The sequence below is a fragment of the Homo sapiens genome, chromosome 20, assembly GCF_000001405.40.
Source record: "Homo sapiens chromosome 20, GRCh38.p14 Primary Assembly".
Classification (NCBI taxonomy): domain Eukaryota; kingdom Metazoa; phylum Chordata; class Mammalia; order Primates; family Hominidae; genus Homo; species Homo sapiens.
This window is the reverse complement of record NC_000020.11, coordinates 30377992-30396003: the sequence shown is the minus strand read 5'-3', so window position 1 is coordinate 30396003 and position 18012 is coordinate 30377992. Positions and strand designations below refer to the sequence as shown.

The following is an 18012-nucleotide window of genomic DNA, read 5'->3' as shown; positions in this document are numbered from 1 at the left end:
AAAAGTGTCCTAAATAATCACTGTTCAGAGCTTCCAAGTACTTGACTAACCAAAGAGACCCAGAAAACTTGGTATTTCATCTGAAAATTTCTTTAAATAGTGAAAAACGCAATCTTTGTGTAAGTATCTTTGTATCTTTGTATAAGTGCAAAGCACTGCACATATATTTGCAATTGTTGCCTTCAATAACACTTTTGTGATGATATCCAGATGAAAAATAATTTACACATGATACAATAAAATATAAATAAGTAAAATTAAATGTAAGTCACAAACCCATCTGCATTTCCTCAATGACCTGTTTCTTGAGAAGCAATGTGCTATGAAATACTGAGAGTGGCCTCTGGAGTCAGCTGGGCCTGGGTACACATCCTGTCCTACCACACCTTGAAATCACTGTGATTTCCATGAAGTGACTGACAAAAACCACGAGGATGTAAGGAGGGTCAGAGGCTGTCTTCCTGTCTGTAAGGCTGAGCTCACATCCACCTCACAGGATCATTATGGAAATTCAAGACTATAACGCATGTGCGCATGTGCCGGATGCATGCAACGAAAAGTATAACATTTCACTTCTCTAACTGTAAGAAAATGCCTACATTTTAAATTGAAATTGTTTGAGCTTTAGATTTGAAATTATCTGAAATCAAGACTATTCTAAGAAGAAAATCAAACATATGACCAGAAATCTAACATGAAGCACATACAGAGAATTGATAGATGCTTTTAAATTACACTGGTAGTAGAGAAAAATGTAACATAAATTTTTATGCTCTAATTATAAGAACGAAGGGCATTTTAGAAAAGGCATTTGCCCCCTCTCTTAGAGCCTTCCACTCTGGCCCCCACAATGCCTTACAGAGCAAATCTGGGTCAGACTGGATGCAACCTGTGATTCCCAACAGAGACAAACAAAGCAAGGTTCAGGATGCTCAGTACTGCGATGAAATGCCAAGACACAGAAAAGCCATGTGTCAAGAAGGCGGGAGTTATTCTTTAGACACATCCTGGTATATGTTTATCATTAAAGATCAGTGGCTTTTGTGAGTCTAAAAAATTAAGCCTTAAATGTTTTCATCAAATTCCAGTTAACTACCTATCTAGGTTATATTAACAGTATTATTTAGAATTTCACCTTGATATGAAGATGTCTGTGTAACTTTTACAATGATGTAAAACAAAGAGTAGGATTAGGGAGGGCACAGGCCACTGGTGCAATGGATAATGCATCTGACTACGGATGAGGGAATTTAGCCTGGAATAAGGAACTTTTATTTCCAGCTTAGTGATGCACACAAATTTTAAAAATAAAATAAAAATCATGTTTTATGTGATTCATGTTTCTCCTAATGCAAAGAAGATGGGTACTATTAATAAAAATATTTTTAAAATGTAAGGGCTAAGGAGCCAGCAGTTCTGCTATGATTTTTAATGTTTCATAGAGTGATTATCATCACAGAAGCTCAAGCATTATGTAAATACAAACACGTATACCCCGACCTGGTAATTCTGCTTCTGGAAATTTATCTGCAGGTCCACCCGCACATCTACAAATTGATGCATATTCAATGTTATGTACTGCAGCACTATTTAGAAGAGCAAAAGACTGGAAACAACCTAAATTTCCATCTACAAAAGACTAAATAAATTAAGGTACATCCCTAAAATGGAATATTATGTGGCTGTTAAAAAAGAGAGAGAGAGAAAGAGAGGAAAAGCAAGAAAAAGAGAAAACTTTCTACATTCAAACTAATAGTAGAAAACTCTCCAAGATACAATTTTAAGGAAAAAAAAATCAAAGTCGAGAAGACTATAGAGAAGGTTGCCTTTAGTGTAAAACAGTTGAAAATTATAAATATATTCATATGTTTATAAAGAAATTTTAGGAGGCTATAAAAAAAAAAACAAAGGGAAAGAGGAACCGGAGCTGGGACACAGGTGAGTAAGATGCATGGCAGGCATATATCTTCATCTTCATATGCTTTTATTTAAAAATGTTGGACCACATGTACATGTTATCTATTTAAAAAATTAGATTTTAAAATACACGCAAGAAAACAAGAAAATGGAAGCTTAAAAAGAGCATGTGGAACTACCAGAAAAAGATACTAATCCATGGAGATAATGGCAAGGTAGCTCCTAGATGCACTGATTTCTCTACCACATTGTATAAACAAGCCATCAACTATGGGATTTATAATTAAAAATGAGTCTATTTGAAACACCACATTATAAAAAGCTATTAACTGAATCTTTAAAGTGACAGTAAATGATGACTTAACATTTTAAAGAGATACAGTCACATCGCATGTGTGAATTCAGTCATCTGTATAAAATGGCATCATTACCTTGATCATTTCTTCTTCTCCTGCTGTTTTACTTTTTGCTTCTATGTCCCCTGCTTCATTGCATCTAATAAAGCAGCTATTTGAGGCCAACAAAGCCATTTTCCCCTAAGTGAAACAAAATAACAAAATAGCCATGAGGATACTTCTTGTGGAAGAAACATTAAGTGCTTAGACTGAATTAATTTTTCCTCCCTGATTTAAAAGTCACAGAAAAGAACTGAGAGAAAAACCTCAAAAATATAATACAAGAACATATAGAAAAGGAAACCAAAATCACCTTTCATTTTACTATTCAAAGATTACCACAATAAACATTTGTAGTGTATCTTCCTAGTAGGATTGCTTCCTTTCTAAAAGATCTACTGAAGATAAAACTGATTTAGTTCTGCTTGGAAAATTAACTTTAAAGACAAGAACATAATTATGAATGCATACTTTATTCAGATATTAACATTTTAAGTAAAATTTATTTTCTTCACAATTAGAAAACATGAAAAGGTACATACAATGCCTTTGGTGTTTTGAATTTAAGAATCAATGTCTGAGGGACTTTTGTGTGTGAAAATAAATATTCATATACATTTTTAGTTGTTTAATGTTTGATGTATTACACTGGTTTCTATTAAACAAAACTGTAAAACCTGATTTTCTTGTGTATTTAAATCTGGGTTATAAATTTGGTTAGCTTAACTCCCGTAACAAATATAACGTTTATTTATAACTTGTATTTGGTTGATTCTTTTGGAAAACTTGGAATACCATAACATTTAGACAAAATATTTATAAATACAATGATTACAAAATATGTTAACCTTATATCACATCCAGTTAAAAATGTGCTGATAACATGGATTTAATTTCTTAGTCAAGTCACAAGGGCTGGGTGGTCTCTCATCTGGATGGCTCCTGGTGAGCCCTGGAACATGGCGGTGTGGTCCAAGGCGATTTAAACCTGTGCCACAGATTATTCAGCTGAGTCCTTTTCGCAATACAGTTTTAAGACCCTCTTTCATTTAAATTTAAATTTTTGAAACTTAGTGTCCTTCCTAAAAATAAAATGAAATGAACTTTCCTAAAGTGTTGTATTATTAGTACTATCTAAGCGATCATCCTGGCCTTATGAAATATTGGCATTTTCTACTGGTGTAACTTTTATTAGAAGCATCTCATCATAACTAGTAGGATCATCTCAAAGGGGTTGCAACACATTAGCAGGTAATGAAATCAATGTAATGTTTCCTGAACGGTATTGGGTGGGTTGGGGGGGAAAGGAATACACACAGACACACAGAGGAAGGGGTAAAAGAGAATACAAAATATCAAGGTGCATAACACATGGATAAGTATGTATTGTTAAGTACAACTCTTGCTCCAGTTATACATATGTTTGTGCTGGGCTGGCAATGTAAAAATGCATTTCTCAATGGATTGGGTCAAAATAGTTTTCAAGTCACTGACTTAAGATTTTATCCTAGGGGATGAGGAAATTAGTCTAAGTGATTACCTCTTTCTGGTGGGATGTTTGTTTAATCTGTCATCTTAGAAAACACTGCTGAGTTCCTATTTTCAGTTCATTATTGTATACTACCAAAGCTGCTACTCAAAGGCTGAGCTTATCTTCTATTTGCTTGTTCTGCGTGGTGCCCACTGGTCCTTACTGTTTTTGATATAGTTATCTACTTTTTAAAGACAGTTTAGCACTCACATATTTTTGTTCAATCTTTACTTCTCACACAAACAGAAAAAGGAAATTATGTATTCTGTATCAACAAAGATTTAACAAAACATCCATATACTACAACTGTCTACTTAATAAAATAAAGAATTAGTACATTAACTTTTTTCTTCTTATATTAAAACTATCTTTTCGTACACTATTTTAAGCTTATGAACTGAAAGTCTTTTAGAGATAATTTACTTCAATGAACTATTATTATTTATATTTTATACGCAAATTGTCACAACTTGGTCTTAGCTAGCTCCACTGTTCGCTTACGGCCTGTAATGTTTCTGAAAACATCCATGATTTCTGCTAAAAAGAAGATACTTAGGAACTATTCTGTTTTCCTACTCTGTGACCTAAAATTGACTGGTTCTTCAATGGAAATGAGATCCATATCTAGGCACTAAGGGTATACAGAAATAATTGTGGACAAAAGTACTAATGCTATTTTTGTTGCACTATATTTTGAGATCTCTTTAAGGCTCTATGTTCTTAGTGGTTTATTCCAATTTAATGTATTATACTATTGCATCCTACTTTTTCTTTTTAAATATATTATGATTGACTGTTACAGACTTTCTGTTAAACTGACAGGAAGTTTTTATAAACAATAACAGCACTTACATTTTGAAAGACTGGTTCCCATTGTTCTCTTGGTCCAATTGCATCTGAATGCCCAACAAGTTCATCTGAATTTATACCAAGATATTTTCCATAGCCAGATTTCAGGGCGATTCTGTACATTAATAAGATAGATAAAAGTTAAAAACGGAGAGAAAATTAATTATAGGACATCAAAACAGGACATGTGTATGTGTGTGGGTGTGTACATATCTAAAGTTTCAGACTGGACATATTCCAAGTGTTCAAAAGATGCATGTGGCTGAGTGGTGACTCACTCCTGTAACCTCTGTGCTTTGGGAAGGCAATGGGAGAATTGCTTGAGGCAAGAAGTTCAAGATCAGCCTGGACAACATAGTGAGACCCCATCTTTACAAAAAATTTAAAAAGTTAGCTGGGCATGGTGGTGTGCACATGTAATACCAGCTACTTGGGAGGCTGACGCAGGAGGAGTGCTTGAGCCCAGAAATTTGAGGTTATAGTGAGCTATGATCACACCACTGCCCTCCAGCCTGGGTGACAGAGACTCTGTGCCTTCAAAAAAAAAAAAGCTACATGTGACTAGTTGTTGCCATATTGGACAGTAAAGTTTTAAATTTAGTTTTTTATTTTGCTTTTTTAATATAAACATTGTACCTTATATATTACATAACAAATATTTTCAAAATTCATCATTCTTCAATTATACCTCTTTAGTTATAACCTTCAATAATAAATTACTAAAACTTTATGTCATCAAACTGTTTTCCAGAAAATGCTGCTTCCATTTACATTCTTACCTCAAATTAATAGAGTATGTTTTGTATCATGGATTTTTTTTAAACATTATGACTCTAAAAAAATACTTGAAAACCTGATATGGAAAAAAAACAGTATCCTATTAATTTGCATTTTAGTAGTTAACTAGAATAACAATTGTTTTTCTTTTCCTTTCTAGCTTTTAGATTATCTGGTAATGTCCCTTGTCCATTTTTCTATTCAGATCTGATTGTTCACAATTTCTCTACTGGGGTCTTCAGTGCTATGAATTCTATACAAGATACATATGAAGAGTAAGAACTCACTGCCTATTAAGATTGTTGCAAATATTTTCCTCATTTGTCAGTTAATTTTCTGTATAATCTTTTTTTGTTTATAATTGTAAAGCAGTTTAAAACTATTGAATTTTTCTTCCTCTGCTTTTATTCTGTCTTTCACCCTACTTATCAGAATTTCAAAGAAAGTATAGAAATAATCATCTTAATGTGATTTTTTAAAATTATGATTTCTTTTACCTTACTAAGAATCTCCTCGGATGCCATAATTGACTTTTACTCCTTTATACGTTAATGATTATATAACAGAAATCATTATCATGTTGATGTAACCAATTACTAAAGTATGTAAATTCACTTTCAGTATCTTTTACCCAAAGAATCATTCTATATTTCTGCACAAGGTGAGAATAAAAAAGGTTACTTTATAAAATGACTGTAAAAATAGTGAGTAAAAATATTCTTTTGGTTGTTATGATGCTGTAACATTCTCTGCTGGTTTCAACAATGTCCCTTTTTTTAGTCTTCCTGTTTGTCTTTAGACTTCCAAACAGTGAGTTTAAATATCATAGCAACAGTGAACCAGGTTTTGTACTATTTGATTTATTTTTTAATCTATCTTACTTGGTGTGTGAAATTATTAATCTTCATTTTTTAATTTACATATCTTTTTTCCAGCCTAGCATTATATATTGATAGGAAATCCACTAAAAGTAGATCACAAAATCTACTTTTCAAAAAAGCTATTTCATTTTTTATATCAAAATTACCATGGCCTTAAGACAGACACTAAAATTTTTAATGAATACAATTAAATTTTTAAAATAACTGGTTACTAATTATATTACAACATAAGCTCACCTGGAATCAGATAATTTGACAGCCATAAACTGCTCTGGAGGACTAGGGCCCTCATCAATATTGGAGAAAAAACATTTGAAAATAAATTTGACATTTGCTATAAATATAAAGACATTATTTTGCTTTAAAAAATGTGGCTATTTTCTTCTGCAATTAAATGTAAGAATATTCAGATATACTGATGTCACTGTAATACTGTATCTTTGGAATCAAGATCTATTTTACCTTCTTTTAACTACAGTGCTAATTTTATACACTGAGTAAGACAGGGTGATATAATGCTTATTTAATAACTTTAGAGATAGCTTCTCTTTATGTTTTAAAATACAGTCATAAGTAAGCACTTATTTAAAAAAGCTAAATGCTTTCATTTATTCAATGGATGGCCTTGCTGACCAAATGATACTGCTTTTTATCTTCTAATTACTTCGTATCTCATTAGTGCTTCCTCTAATGGGCTAAAGAAAACGAGGAAACTTCAAATTGTTAAATGCACCCAGGTTAGTTTTGGTAATAAGTCTGAATAAAAAAGAAATTCAAACATGTTTGACTGAAATAGGTTTTCTTTTTTCTTTCCACTTACTATTTTAATTATTCATATTGTTTAGATTTCCAAAGATACTCTTCTGGAACTATACGGAATGTTTTCAAATGCTTATATTAGAAAGAGGGACTTGCCAATGGCTGGTAAATATTAAGGAATTAAAAAAAATGGAAGAGTCAAATGCAATGGTTACATTCCTTTGGAAAATGTTTGATACTAGTTAGAGTTTGGCCTAAGTGAATGAATGTCCTAAAATCTACACTTGTGGCAGGATCTTCCCTTCCAGACACAAACCTTCTTTGTGTGGAGCTCCCAGGGTAAAAAGACCATTGTCGAGTGCATGTATATAGGTTCCCTCATCCATTTCAATGGCTATGGTTCCTGAAATTTCACCAAAGTTTGTTACTGTTCACCAGATTCCTAAAAAATAAAATTGATATTTCAACTTTATATTTTAGTTTTGACACAGAGTTGTTATTATAACTTAGTTTTAAAAACCTTTTATCTTGCAGTTGTAAGAAATAATATGAAGATCTCACATATCCTTTACTTACTTTGTCTCAATGATGACATCTTGCATAAGTATCATACATTGTTAGAATCAGGAAACTGACATTGATATAATCCATGAAGCTTATTCAGATTTCACCAGTTTTACATGTACTTGTTCGCATGTGTGTACACAGATTCATGCAACTACCAGCACAGTCAGGATTAGGTTTTTAAAATACAAAATAGCAACATACAGCCAGGCATGGGGGTGCATGCCTGTAATCCCAGCTACTCGGGGAGCTGTGAAAGAGGATCACTTGAGCCCAGGAGTTCAAGGTTATAGTGAGCTATGATCACGCCACTGCACTATAGCCTGAGTGACAGAGCAAGGTCCTGTTTCAAAAAAAGACCAAAACAAAACAAAAGGCAACATGTGAAGGTACAAAGTGATATATGGAGAACGGTCTCTCTCATGATAGACCCTAGCCATCTATTCATGCCTGCTTTCCAGAGGCAATGCCTATCATAATACTTCTTAAAAATGTCTCTCAGGAAGACTTTCTAGCATAGTAATCTTTTTTTTTTTTTTGAGACGGAGTCTCGCTCTGTCGCCCAGGCTGGAGTGCAGTGACGCGATCTTGGCTCACTGCGACCTCCACCTCCTGGATTTAAACAATTCTCTGCCTCAGCTTCCAGAGTAGCTGGGGTTACAAGAGCCTGCCACCATGCCCGAATAATTTTTTTTGTATTTTTAGTAGAGACGGAGTTTCACCACATTGGCCAGGCTGGTCTTGAACTCCTGATCTCGTGATCCACCTGCCTCTGCCTCCCAAAGTGCTGGGATTACAGATGTGAGCCACCGCGCCCGGCCAGTAATCTTAACTACGATTTTAGATTGAAAGCAAAATGAGCAGAATCTATGTCTATGTATACTAATTTCCAATTTGCCAATAGAAATGTTAGACTTTAGCAACAATTATTTTAGCAGTTGTTATAAAAGTTTATATCTTAATGTTAAAAAATATCCTCAAACCTCCTCCTAAATTGTACTTTAACTAGAGTAGAAATGAGTCAATCATTAACTGGATATGAAATATTAAGGAATTCTTGTTAATTTTACAAGGTCTGATAATGACATAGTATAATGCATAAAAGTAAAGGACAAAACAGGTGATGAGAGAAAGACATACCAAGTTAAGAAATGTACATTTATGTACTTATGGGTAAAATGACATAATATCTGTGATTTTACTTAGAATTTTCTAGGAAAAAATGTGTGTGGGGGTGTGTATGTAAATGAAACGAGATTGGCAAAATATTGATAATTAATGCTGGGGCCTGGGCACATGGGGGACTCATTATATTCTTCTATGTATGGATTAGTTTGGATATTTCCATAATAAAAAGGTTTTAAAGATTCAGTTAATTCCACTGCACAAAATTTTCTATTCAACTAAACATTTCATGCTTTTCATAATCAATTTTAAAATATATAAAATTTCAGCTAAAATGAAGTTGGACCCTTATCTAACACCAAATACAAAAAGTAACTAAAATAGACCAAAGACCTAAACGTAAGAGCTAAAGTTAGAAAACTTTTAGAAGAAAATGGGAAAAGCTTCACGACAATGAATTTGGCAATGATTTCTTATATAGAACATCAAAGGCACAGGCAACAAAAGAAAACATAGACAAACTGGACTTCATCAGAATTAAAAAGTTTTGTGCATCAAGAACCACTGTCAACACAGTAAAAGGCAACCCAGAGAATGGAGAAAATATTTGTAAACTACATACATGATAAGGAGTTAATATCCAGACTATATAGAGAACTCCAAAAAGACAAATACAATTCAAAACTGGGCAAAGGATATACACGGACATTGCTCCAAAGATGATATACAAATGGCCAATAAGCACTGGAAAAGATGCTCAACATCACTAGTCATTAGGGAAATATAAATCAAAACCATAATGCAATACCACTTCACACCCATTAGAATGCTATTATCAAAACAAACAAAAAACAGAAACCAAGAAAACCAGAAAAACAAATGTTGGGCAGGATGTGGAGAAACTGAAACCTTGTGCAACGCTGGTGGGAAGGTAAAATGGTGCATGTATTTAAATGCCACTGAAGTGTAAACGTAAAAATAGAAAAACTAACAAATTCTACATTCTGTATATTTTACCTCCACACACACACGAAACCAATGGAGAAAAAGAAAATTAATCAAAATTAAAATTTCAGCTAGAGGCGATTAGAAAGAAATAAAACTAATGACAATTTAGATGATTGAGTTATAGCTACAATTGTTTTCAGTAAAAGAAATAATGCTTTATTCAGAATCATTATGAACAGTGTTATGATTAGCAAGTCTTTCTTATAAATGTAATAGTTAATATTTTTAAATTAGTTTTATTTTGTATTTTCTATGCCACCTTCACCAAGTACACTTAATATTAAATAAAATCATTTAAATATAATATCTCATGAATGTTTTGCAAATGAAGAAGAAATTTGTGGCAGACAATCCTCAAAATTTTCACACTCTGTCCAAGTAGGGAAATGATACAATAACATTACTTATAATATTGTCAACTGAAAAAGAAATTACTTTGAGCAGATGCCAGTATTTCTTCTCAATGATATTTCAAAGAATAAGAAAGCTAAACACAGTATCATCAAGAATTAAATGTGAGCATTCTGCCTACTTTCTGCAAGTGGCCTACATTCAACCTTTGGAGGTATGCTTATACGTTTAATGACTAAAGTAACATAACATAATACTTAACAGTGCCACTCAGGGGTTTTAGGTGTGAAAAAGCCGTGGATCCTAGGAACAGTGGGCACTGAAGTTGCCTGTCTCTATGTCAGGTTACAGCTCAAGCTGTGTATATGCTGCAGACGCCCAAGCTGAATTTAAGAGAATCCGCTCTAAAACATTACTTGCTATTTAGACACATGCTTAAAGTTATTTCCTTTTAAACCTTAGGCAGATGATGAAATATTCCCACTGTGTTGTCTCACAATGCATAACAAAGCTTTTCACATATTTTCACATAGTTGAGAATGCTTCCATATATCTGGCATGCCTGTAACCCAGCACTTTGAGAGGTGGAAGCAGGAGAATCACTTAAGCCCAGGAGTTCAAGATCAGCCTAGGCAACAAAAGGAGACCCCCATCTCTACAAAAAAATTAAGAAATTAGCTGGGTATGGTGGTATAAGACTGTGGTCCCAGCTACTCGGGAGTCCGAGGTGAGAGAATTGCTTGAGCCTACAAGGTCGAGGGTGCAATGAGCCATGATCACGTCACTGCACTCCAGCCTGAGCAACAAAGCAAGAGCCTGTCTCAAAAAAAAAAAAAAAAAAAAAAAAACTGGCCCGATGTACCAGTGTCATGGCTGATAAGATACTACCAGGGCACCCTCATTCTAGAATCAAGGCTGTGTGACAGCTCACGTCACCTTCTGACTAACCCAGTGCTTCTGTGCTAAGGGCCCCCTTAAATCTCTACCTTCATTATGTGCTTGGCAAAAAGGAATGATATATCTTAGATTTGGAAATGGAATTTTCTTCCCCAATCTTACTGTAGTCTAAGTACCCTTCACAGACTTTCTATTAACACATAGCTTACTTAGCTTCAGTTCCTGAGTAAATCAAATCTGTGTTTTGCAAACTACGATGTTGTAAGTTCAATAGCTTCTGAATCTAGCAGAGCTCAGTGAAACTCTTTGCTTACAGACATGCTCATTTTTATTAATGTCACACATGGTATTCTCCATGTGAAAGACAGAATTTCTTTCATCCTATTTACCAATCCCTTCAGATCCTTGTGAGGAACCAACAGAACAGCTTTAAAAAATTAAAAGGGTTTTTTCTTTCCCTTCACAAATAGGCACATGCTTACTTATACGGCAAGTTTAGAAAATCCACAATGCAAAAGAAGGTGGAAGGACAAAGAGAAAAAGATGAAGAAGGACTTCCTCTTCCAGCCAAGATGGACTTGCCCTCCCACCATGACCAATGAGAAAACTGAAACTGGATAGAATATTTGAGAAAACTCTTTTCAGGGATTGGAACACAGGCAGAACAGGACTGTGATATTTGAGAACAGGAAAACACAGGAGGCAAATCTCACACACACTTCTGTTTTCTGCCCAATGGCAGTTTCTTGACCACACAGAGAGAGGTAGAGACCTCCAAAAATGAGGCAATGTCACTGTCACTAAGCTGAGAGTCTTGCAGTGCTAACATGTTTGGAGTTTATAGAATAAGGTACTGGAGAAGAGGGAACTACATACAGGTGAGGCCTCAAAAGAGAATGCAAAAGTTCTCTGCAGGTCTGGGGCCAAGGGCTGGGGGGAGTGCATACAGCAGGCAGGCTCCACAAGGCCTCTGCAGAGTGGCTGGCACTTCTGAGGGCTGACTGGAGATGCCAGAGATCACACAAATTTGGGACATAGCAGAGTGGAGAGAACTCATCAAGTATACCTAGAACATATGGCTGAGGCCCATGAGGATGAACATCTCCTAGAGTAAGAGTCACTGTCTAAGTCTGCAGGTAAAAATCTAATAAATAAGCACAAACTAACAAAGGCCCAGGCTTGACAGGAGCAAAAGGGTGGTCAAATAATTTAACTAGGCATCAAGACATTTAACAGAAATAAAGGTTAAAATGTTATGAAAATGAAAGACTGAATTTATAAGGAAGACTTAACAATCCTAAGTGTGTACACATGACAGCTTCAAAATACTTTAAGCAAAAACTGCTCAAGTAGAGCTGGAGATTTTAACATAACTCTCAATACATTGTAGGATGAGTAAAAAATCAGTAAGGACACAGAAGATGTGCATAGCCACAAGCTCCACCAGTTGATCTAACTGACATCTAAAGAACACTGAACCACTGGGCGCCACGGCTCACGCCCGTAATCCCAACACTTTGGGAGGCCGAGGCGGGTGGATCGCCTGAGGTCAGGAGTTTGAGACCAGCTTGGCCAACGTGGTGAAACTCCGTCTCTATTAAAAATATAAAAAAAATTAGCCAGGCATGGTGGCAGGTGCCTGTAATTCCAGCTCCTCCAGAGGCTGAGGCAGGAGAATCACTTGAACCTGGGAGGCGGAGGCTGCAGTGAGCCGAGATTGTGCCACTGCACTCCAGCCTGCTGGGCAACAGAGAGCGACTTCATCTCCAAAAAAAAAAAAAACCCTGAACCAACATCTGCAGAATACACATTCTTGTCAAGTGTACATGGAAATTCACTAAGAAAGTATGTTCTCCAACTATACTATAAATGAATTAGAAATCAGCAACAATAACATACTTATAATATCTCTATGTAGTAGAAATTAAAAAACAATACACTTTTAAATAACTCAAGTGTCCATGAAAAGAAAACTCACAAGGAAAACTAGATGATATTTTGAATGGAATGAAAATGAAAGCAAAATGTGTTGACTATAACTAAAACTAATGTGGAATGAAGAGATCTAACTCTCTTCTTAAGAAGCAATAAAACAAGAGCAAAGTAAACTGAAAATAAGTTAAAGGGAGGAAAATAAAGACTGAAAATAAATGAAATAAAAAATGAAAAAAATAGAAAATAAGTAATACTGAAACAGGCTTGTCCATCCTGAGGGCTGCATGTGGCCCAGGCCAGGTTTGAATGCAGCCCAACACAAATTCATAAACTTTCTTGAAACATTATGAGATTTTTTTCCTTTTTTTTTTTTTTGACTCATCAGCTTATCGTTAGTGTATTCTATGTGTGGCCCAAAACAATTCTTCTCCTTCCATTGTGGCCCAGGGAAGCTAAAAGATTGAATACCCCTGTACTAAAAGATCATTAATGATCTAAAATAAGTGATCTTATAAAGAATTGATAAACCTCCAGCTAGACTGACTGATCCAGGAAAAAACAGAAAAAACACAAATTACCAATATGAAGAGACTGCAATACAGATTAGATTCTACAGACAGTAAAAGGATATTAAAGGAATATTCTGAAAAATTTTATGCCAATAAATCCAACAACTTGGATGAAATGAAATTTTCCTAAAAGACACAAATTACCAAAACTGACAACAGAAAAATCTGAAAATATCTCTTAAAAAATCTTAATTCTCCCACAAAAAACTAAAACCAAACCAAATAAAACCCTCTAGGTTCAGATGATTTCACTGGTAAATCCTATCAAACATGTAAAGAAGAAATCATACCGATCTTACACAGCTATTTCCAAAAACAGGGAAGGAGACAGCACTTCCCATCTAATTTTATGACACCCAATAAAACCTTGACACCAAAATCAAATAAAGACATTACAAGAAAAGGATACAAAGTCCAATATCTCCCATCAACACCAATATAGAAATCTTAAAAAAAAAAAAAAAAGAAAAGAAAAAAAAACACCTAGAAATCAAATCTAGCAATATCCCAAAGGACAACACACCACAACCAAGTGGGGTTTATCTCAGGGATGTAAAGTTAGTTTAAAAGTTGAAAATGAAACCAATGTAATTCATTGGCAGAATGAAGAAATTTGTATAATCATCTCAACAGATACAGAAAGAGACATTTGACAGCATTAAACATCGTTATGATAAAAACTGCCAAGAAACAAAGTTTAAAAGGAATGTCCTCATTTTGATAAAGGTTTTCTCTGCAGATCATACAGACATCATACCATATGGTGGACTACTGAAAGCTTTCTGCCTAAGCTTGGAAACAATGCAATTATGCCCATTCTCGTGACTTCTGTTCAACACTATGGAAGTCCTGGACAGTATAATAAACCAATAAAAAGCAAGACAAGACATAAGGATTAGAAAGAAAGAAGTAAAACGATAGTCACAGGAAACATAATTGCAAATTTCTTAGTTTTCTATATAAACAAACCACTAGAAGTAATAAGTGAAACAGACTTATCAGACTACAAAGTCACTATACAAAAATCAATTGTATATCTACATACTGACAACAAACAACTGGAAAATCAAGTTCAAAAGTTCTACTGATAGTAGTGTAAAATTATAAAATACTTAAGAATAAATTTTTAAACACGCATGCAAGACTGCTACATTGAAAATTATGAAATATTGAGGCCCAATATTAAGATGTTGATTCTCCCCCAAATGCTCTGGACTCAATACAATTCTCCGAGAAAATCCAACAGGCTTCACTGAAGAAATCAATAAACTAATAGTAAGTACAAAGTTGGAGGACACACACTACCTGATCTCAAGACTTCATGAAATTATAACAATCAAGATAAATATGCCAAAAGAAAAACAGAAAATCGATAGAACAGAGTCCAGAAATAGACCAATACATAGAAAGTTAATTGACTTTTTATGAAGATACAAAACTGGATTAATGGAAAAAGGAAACACCAGTGGCGCTGGCACAAATGGCTATCAAGATGTTAAAAAAAAAAAAAAAAGGAAATCTTGGAACCAAACTCACACCATGCCAAAAATTAATTTGAGATTAATGACAGATTTAATGTAAAAACTAAAACTATGATGCCTCTAAAAGACAATGTAGAATATTTTCCAGACTTTGGGGTAAGCAAAGATCTCTTAGATCAAAGAGATAAGGCAGTAACCATAAAAGAAAAAAAATAAACAAAGCTTTATAAACATTAAAAGCTTCTGACCATCCTGGCTAACATGGTGAAACCCTGTCACTACTAAAAACACAAAAAATTAGCTGGGCGTGGTGGCAGGTGCCTGTAGTCCCAGCTACTTGGGAAGCTAAGGCAGGAGAATGGCGTGAACCTGGGAGGTGGAGCTTGCAGTGAACCGAGATCGCGCCACTGCCCTCCAGCCTGGGTGACAGAGCCAGACTCCATCTCAAAAAAAAAAAAAAGAAAAAAGCTGTCCATCCAAAAACCACCATTAAGAAACTGAAAAGGAGGATAAAATAGCGCAACCACTTTTGAAAAATTTTGACAGTTTCTTATATAGTTAAACATTCACCTATCCTTTGACACAGCAATTCCACATCTACATATCTACCCTAGATATTTACCCTAATTTTAGAATTGTTGATTTGCCATTTCAAAAGCAATGATTCTTCCAGAACATTAGCTTTACACCATTCCATATTTTATATATTTTTTAAGCTACCATAATTTATGAAGATTCAAAATGCAACTTGCCAAGTTTTAAAAGAGAAAAAAAAAGTATGGAAACAGCTAAACGGAAAACAGGCTGGTTAAGTGTGTTTGGGTCAGTTTATTTCCAGTATCATTTACAGGCTACCCTGATATTGTATTTAAAATTTTCATTCATTTCAGAGTTCACAAAATAATGATTTTTCCTATGAAGATACTTTGTTTAAGAGACAACTGACTTCTACAACTAAAATGTATACATGTTCAAAGAAAATAGCTTGTAAAATATATTTGGTTGAATAACATTTACATTAAGCCTTTAAAATTATGTATCAGAATCTCCAGCTATTATTAAGCAGTCTAATGGTGCCTACTAAGTCAGAGAGTTGTAATTCTTCTCTCCTGTGCTCTGTTCTGATAATGAAGTAAAGGCATCAGTAGCATCTACTGTGCTAAAGAATAAATGGAATTTGCAACTGTAGGTAATATTTAAGCACTTTAAGACAAATATGAATACATCATAAATTTCTAACTAGGAAAATATTTTCAATGAGATCTCAAGAAATGTTAACTTTTTTCAGAATAAAGCACTGAAAACTGACTCACCAACGTATCAAGCTGGGTTTCTTCATCTTCTCTTTTTCTCTTCTTATCTTTGCTCTTTTTCTTCTTACTACAGGACATAATTTATATAGATGAGTTTAAGTATATTGATTTGTGTGATAAATCAATATCGTAAGATTGAAACTTGGAAGTCTTTTAAGTTGTTTCATTTATAAATTATTGATTTAGGAAGACTTACATTGCTATGCCCTCTTAAATACAGTACTGAGAATTTGCTTCAGGCTTTGTACATATTATGTTAAAGTTCAAAGCAGATTGTAGAGCCACACTGCCAGATTTTAAATCCTGATTCTGTCACTTCTTAGCTCTGTGATTTTGGGAAAAGGTACTGAATCTCTCTGTGAGTCAGTTTCCCCACTTAAAAAATTAGGATAACAACTTAACTCTTAAGGCTATTGTGAGGATTAAGAGGTAATATGTATCTTCACACATTGCTGGTGGAAATGTAAAATGGTGCAGCATCTACAGGAAACAGTTTGGCGTTCCTCAAAAAGTTAAAGAGTTACCATATGACCCAGCAATTTTACTCCTAAGTATGTATACCCAAGGGAAATGAAAACATACACCCACAAAAATACTTACATAAGAATATTCACACTAGTATTAGTCACAATAGTCAAAAAGGGGAAACAATCTAAATGTTCATCAACTGATGAATGGATGAACAAAATATTACATCCATACAATGGACTACTACGCAGCCATAAAAAGGAACAAGTGCTACAAAACTGATGGACCTCAAGAATGTTATAAGTGAAAGAAGCCAGATACAAAAGGCCACATGTTGCATGATTTCTTAGGAAATATTCAGAATAGGCAATTTCACATAGATAGCAGACTAGTGGTTGCCAAGGACTAGGAGAGGGGGAAGATGGGATGTGACTGCTTTAATGGTTAGGAAGAGATTTCCTTCTGAGATGATGAAAATGCTGAGCAACTAGACAGTGGTGAACCTCTTGAATATATAATAAAAACCACTGACTGTACAAAAGGGTGAATTTTATAATTATGAATTACATCGCAATAAAAAAATAAAAACCCAAGAGCAATTTGAAGAAAGTTAATGTGCAAAGTGCCTACAACAATTTCTTGGCGCATTGAAAGTGCTATATAAGCATTAATTATGATTATTACGATAATCTTAAGACACTCTTGTCTGCATTTTCATCATAAAGTTTTCAGAAGATAACTCACCACTCCTCACAGGCATTTCACATAGTAAAAATCTCACATTCATTCAGGATATACCTGCCACTTATTCTGGCATCTTCATGAGGCCAGACTCCTCGAGAGGGTTCTCAAGGGCAGTGGCTTCAGCTCACTCCTTGATACTTTCTTTCCATCTCGCCTAACAATATCAAAACCCCTGTTTATCACGGAGGCCAGGAGGAAATGCTCAATATTTGTATGTACAGTCAACCTCAGGCAAATCTGCCAGTTAAAAAAGAAGCGGGGATATGAATGCACAGGTATTTTTCTCCTAAAGAGCTAATAAATTACCACTACGACCTCCTCCTCACATTTGGCTTAATTTATTTACTGCATGTATGTTCTCTCATTTAATCCTCACAGTATTCTAAAGGTATAAAAAATGGTCTAAAAGTTTAAATGTGTAAACGGAGGTTCAAAGATACTTGATCTC

General features: G+C 34.5%; 1 pseudogene across 2 annotated transcripts in view, besides 1 other annotated feature; it reads right to left on the bottom strand.

Annotated features, from left to right (window-relative positions):
• The window catches only part of FRG1BP (FSHD region gene 1 family member B, pseudogene), a 42680-nt pseudogene that overhangs the window by 23840 nt on the left and 828 nt on the right, over window positions 1-18012 (bottom strand). For both annotated transcript variants that reach the window (NR_145491.1, NR_003579.2), the window contains exons 2-5: window positions 16353-16419; window positions 7426-7551; window positions 4696-4807; window positions 2349-2453 (exon numbers count right to left, since the gene is read on the bottom strand). The product of NR_145491.1 is annotated as an FSHD region gene 1 family member B, pseudogene, transcript variant 1 (transcript). The remainder of the gene's footprint in view (window positions 1-2348; window positions 2454-4695; window positions 4808-7425; window positions 7552-16352; window positions 16420-18012) is intronic.
• Window positions 11501-12002: an enhancer, noted in NCBI's record as "OCT4-NANOG hESC enhancer chr20:29618678-29619179 (GRCh37/hg19 assembly coordinates)". NCBI's record gives its function as "activates a minimal SCP1, AML or CMV promoter by ChIP-STARR-seq in primed H9 embryonic stem cells {active_cell/tissue: H9 hESC(primed)}" and the evidence as "EXISTENCE:reporter gene assay evidence [ECO:0000049][PMID:30033119]".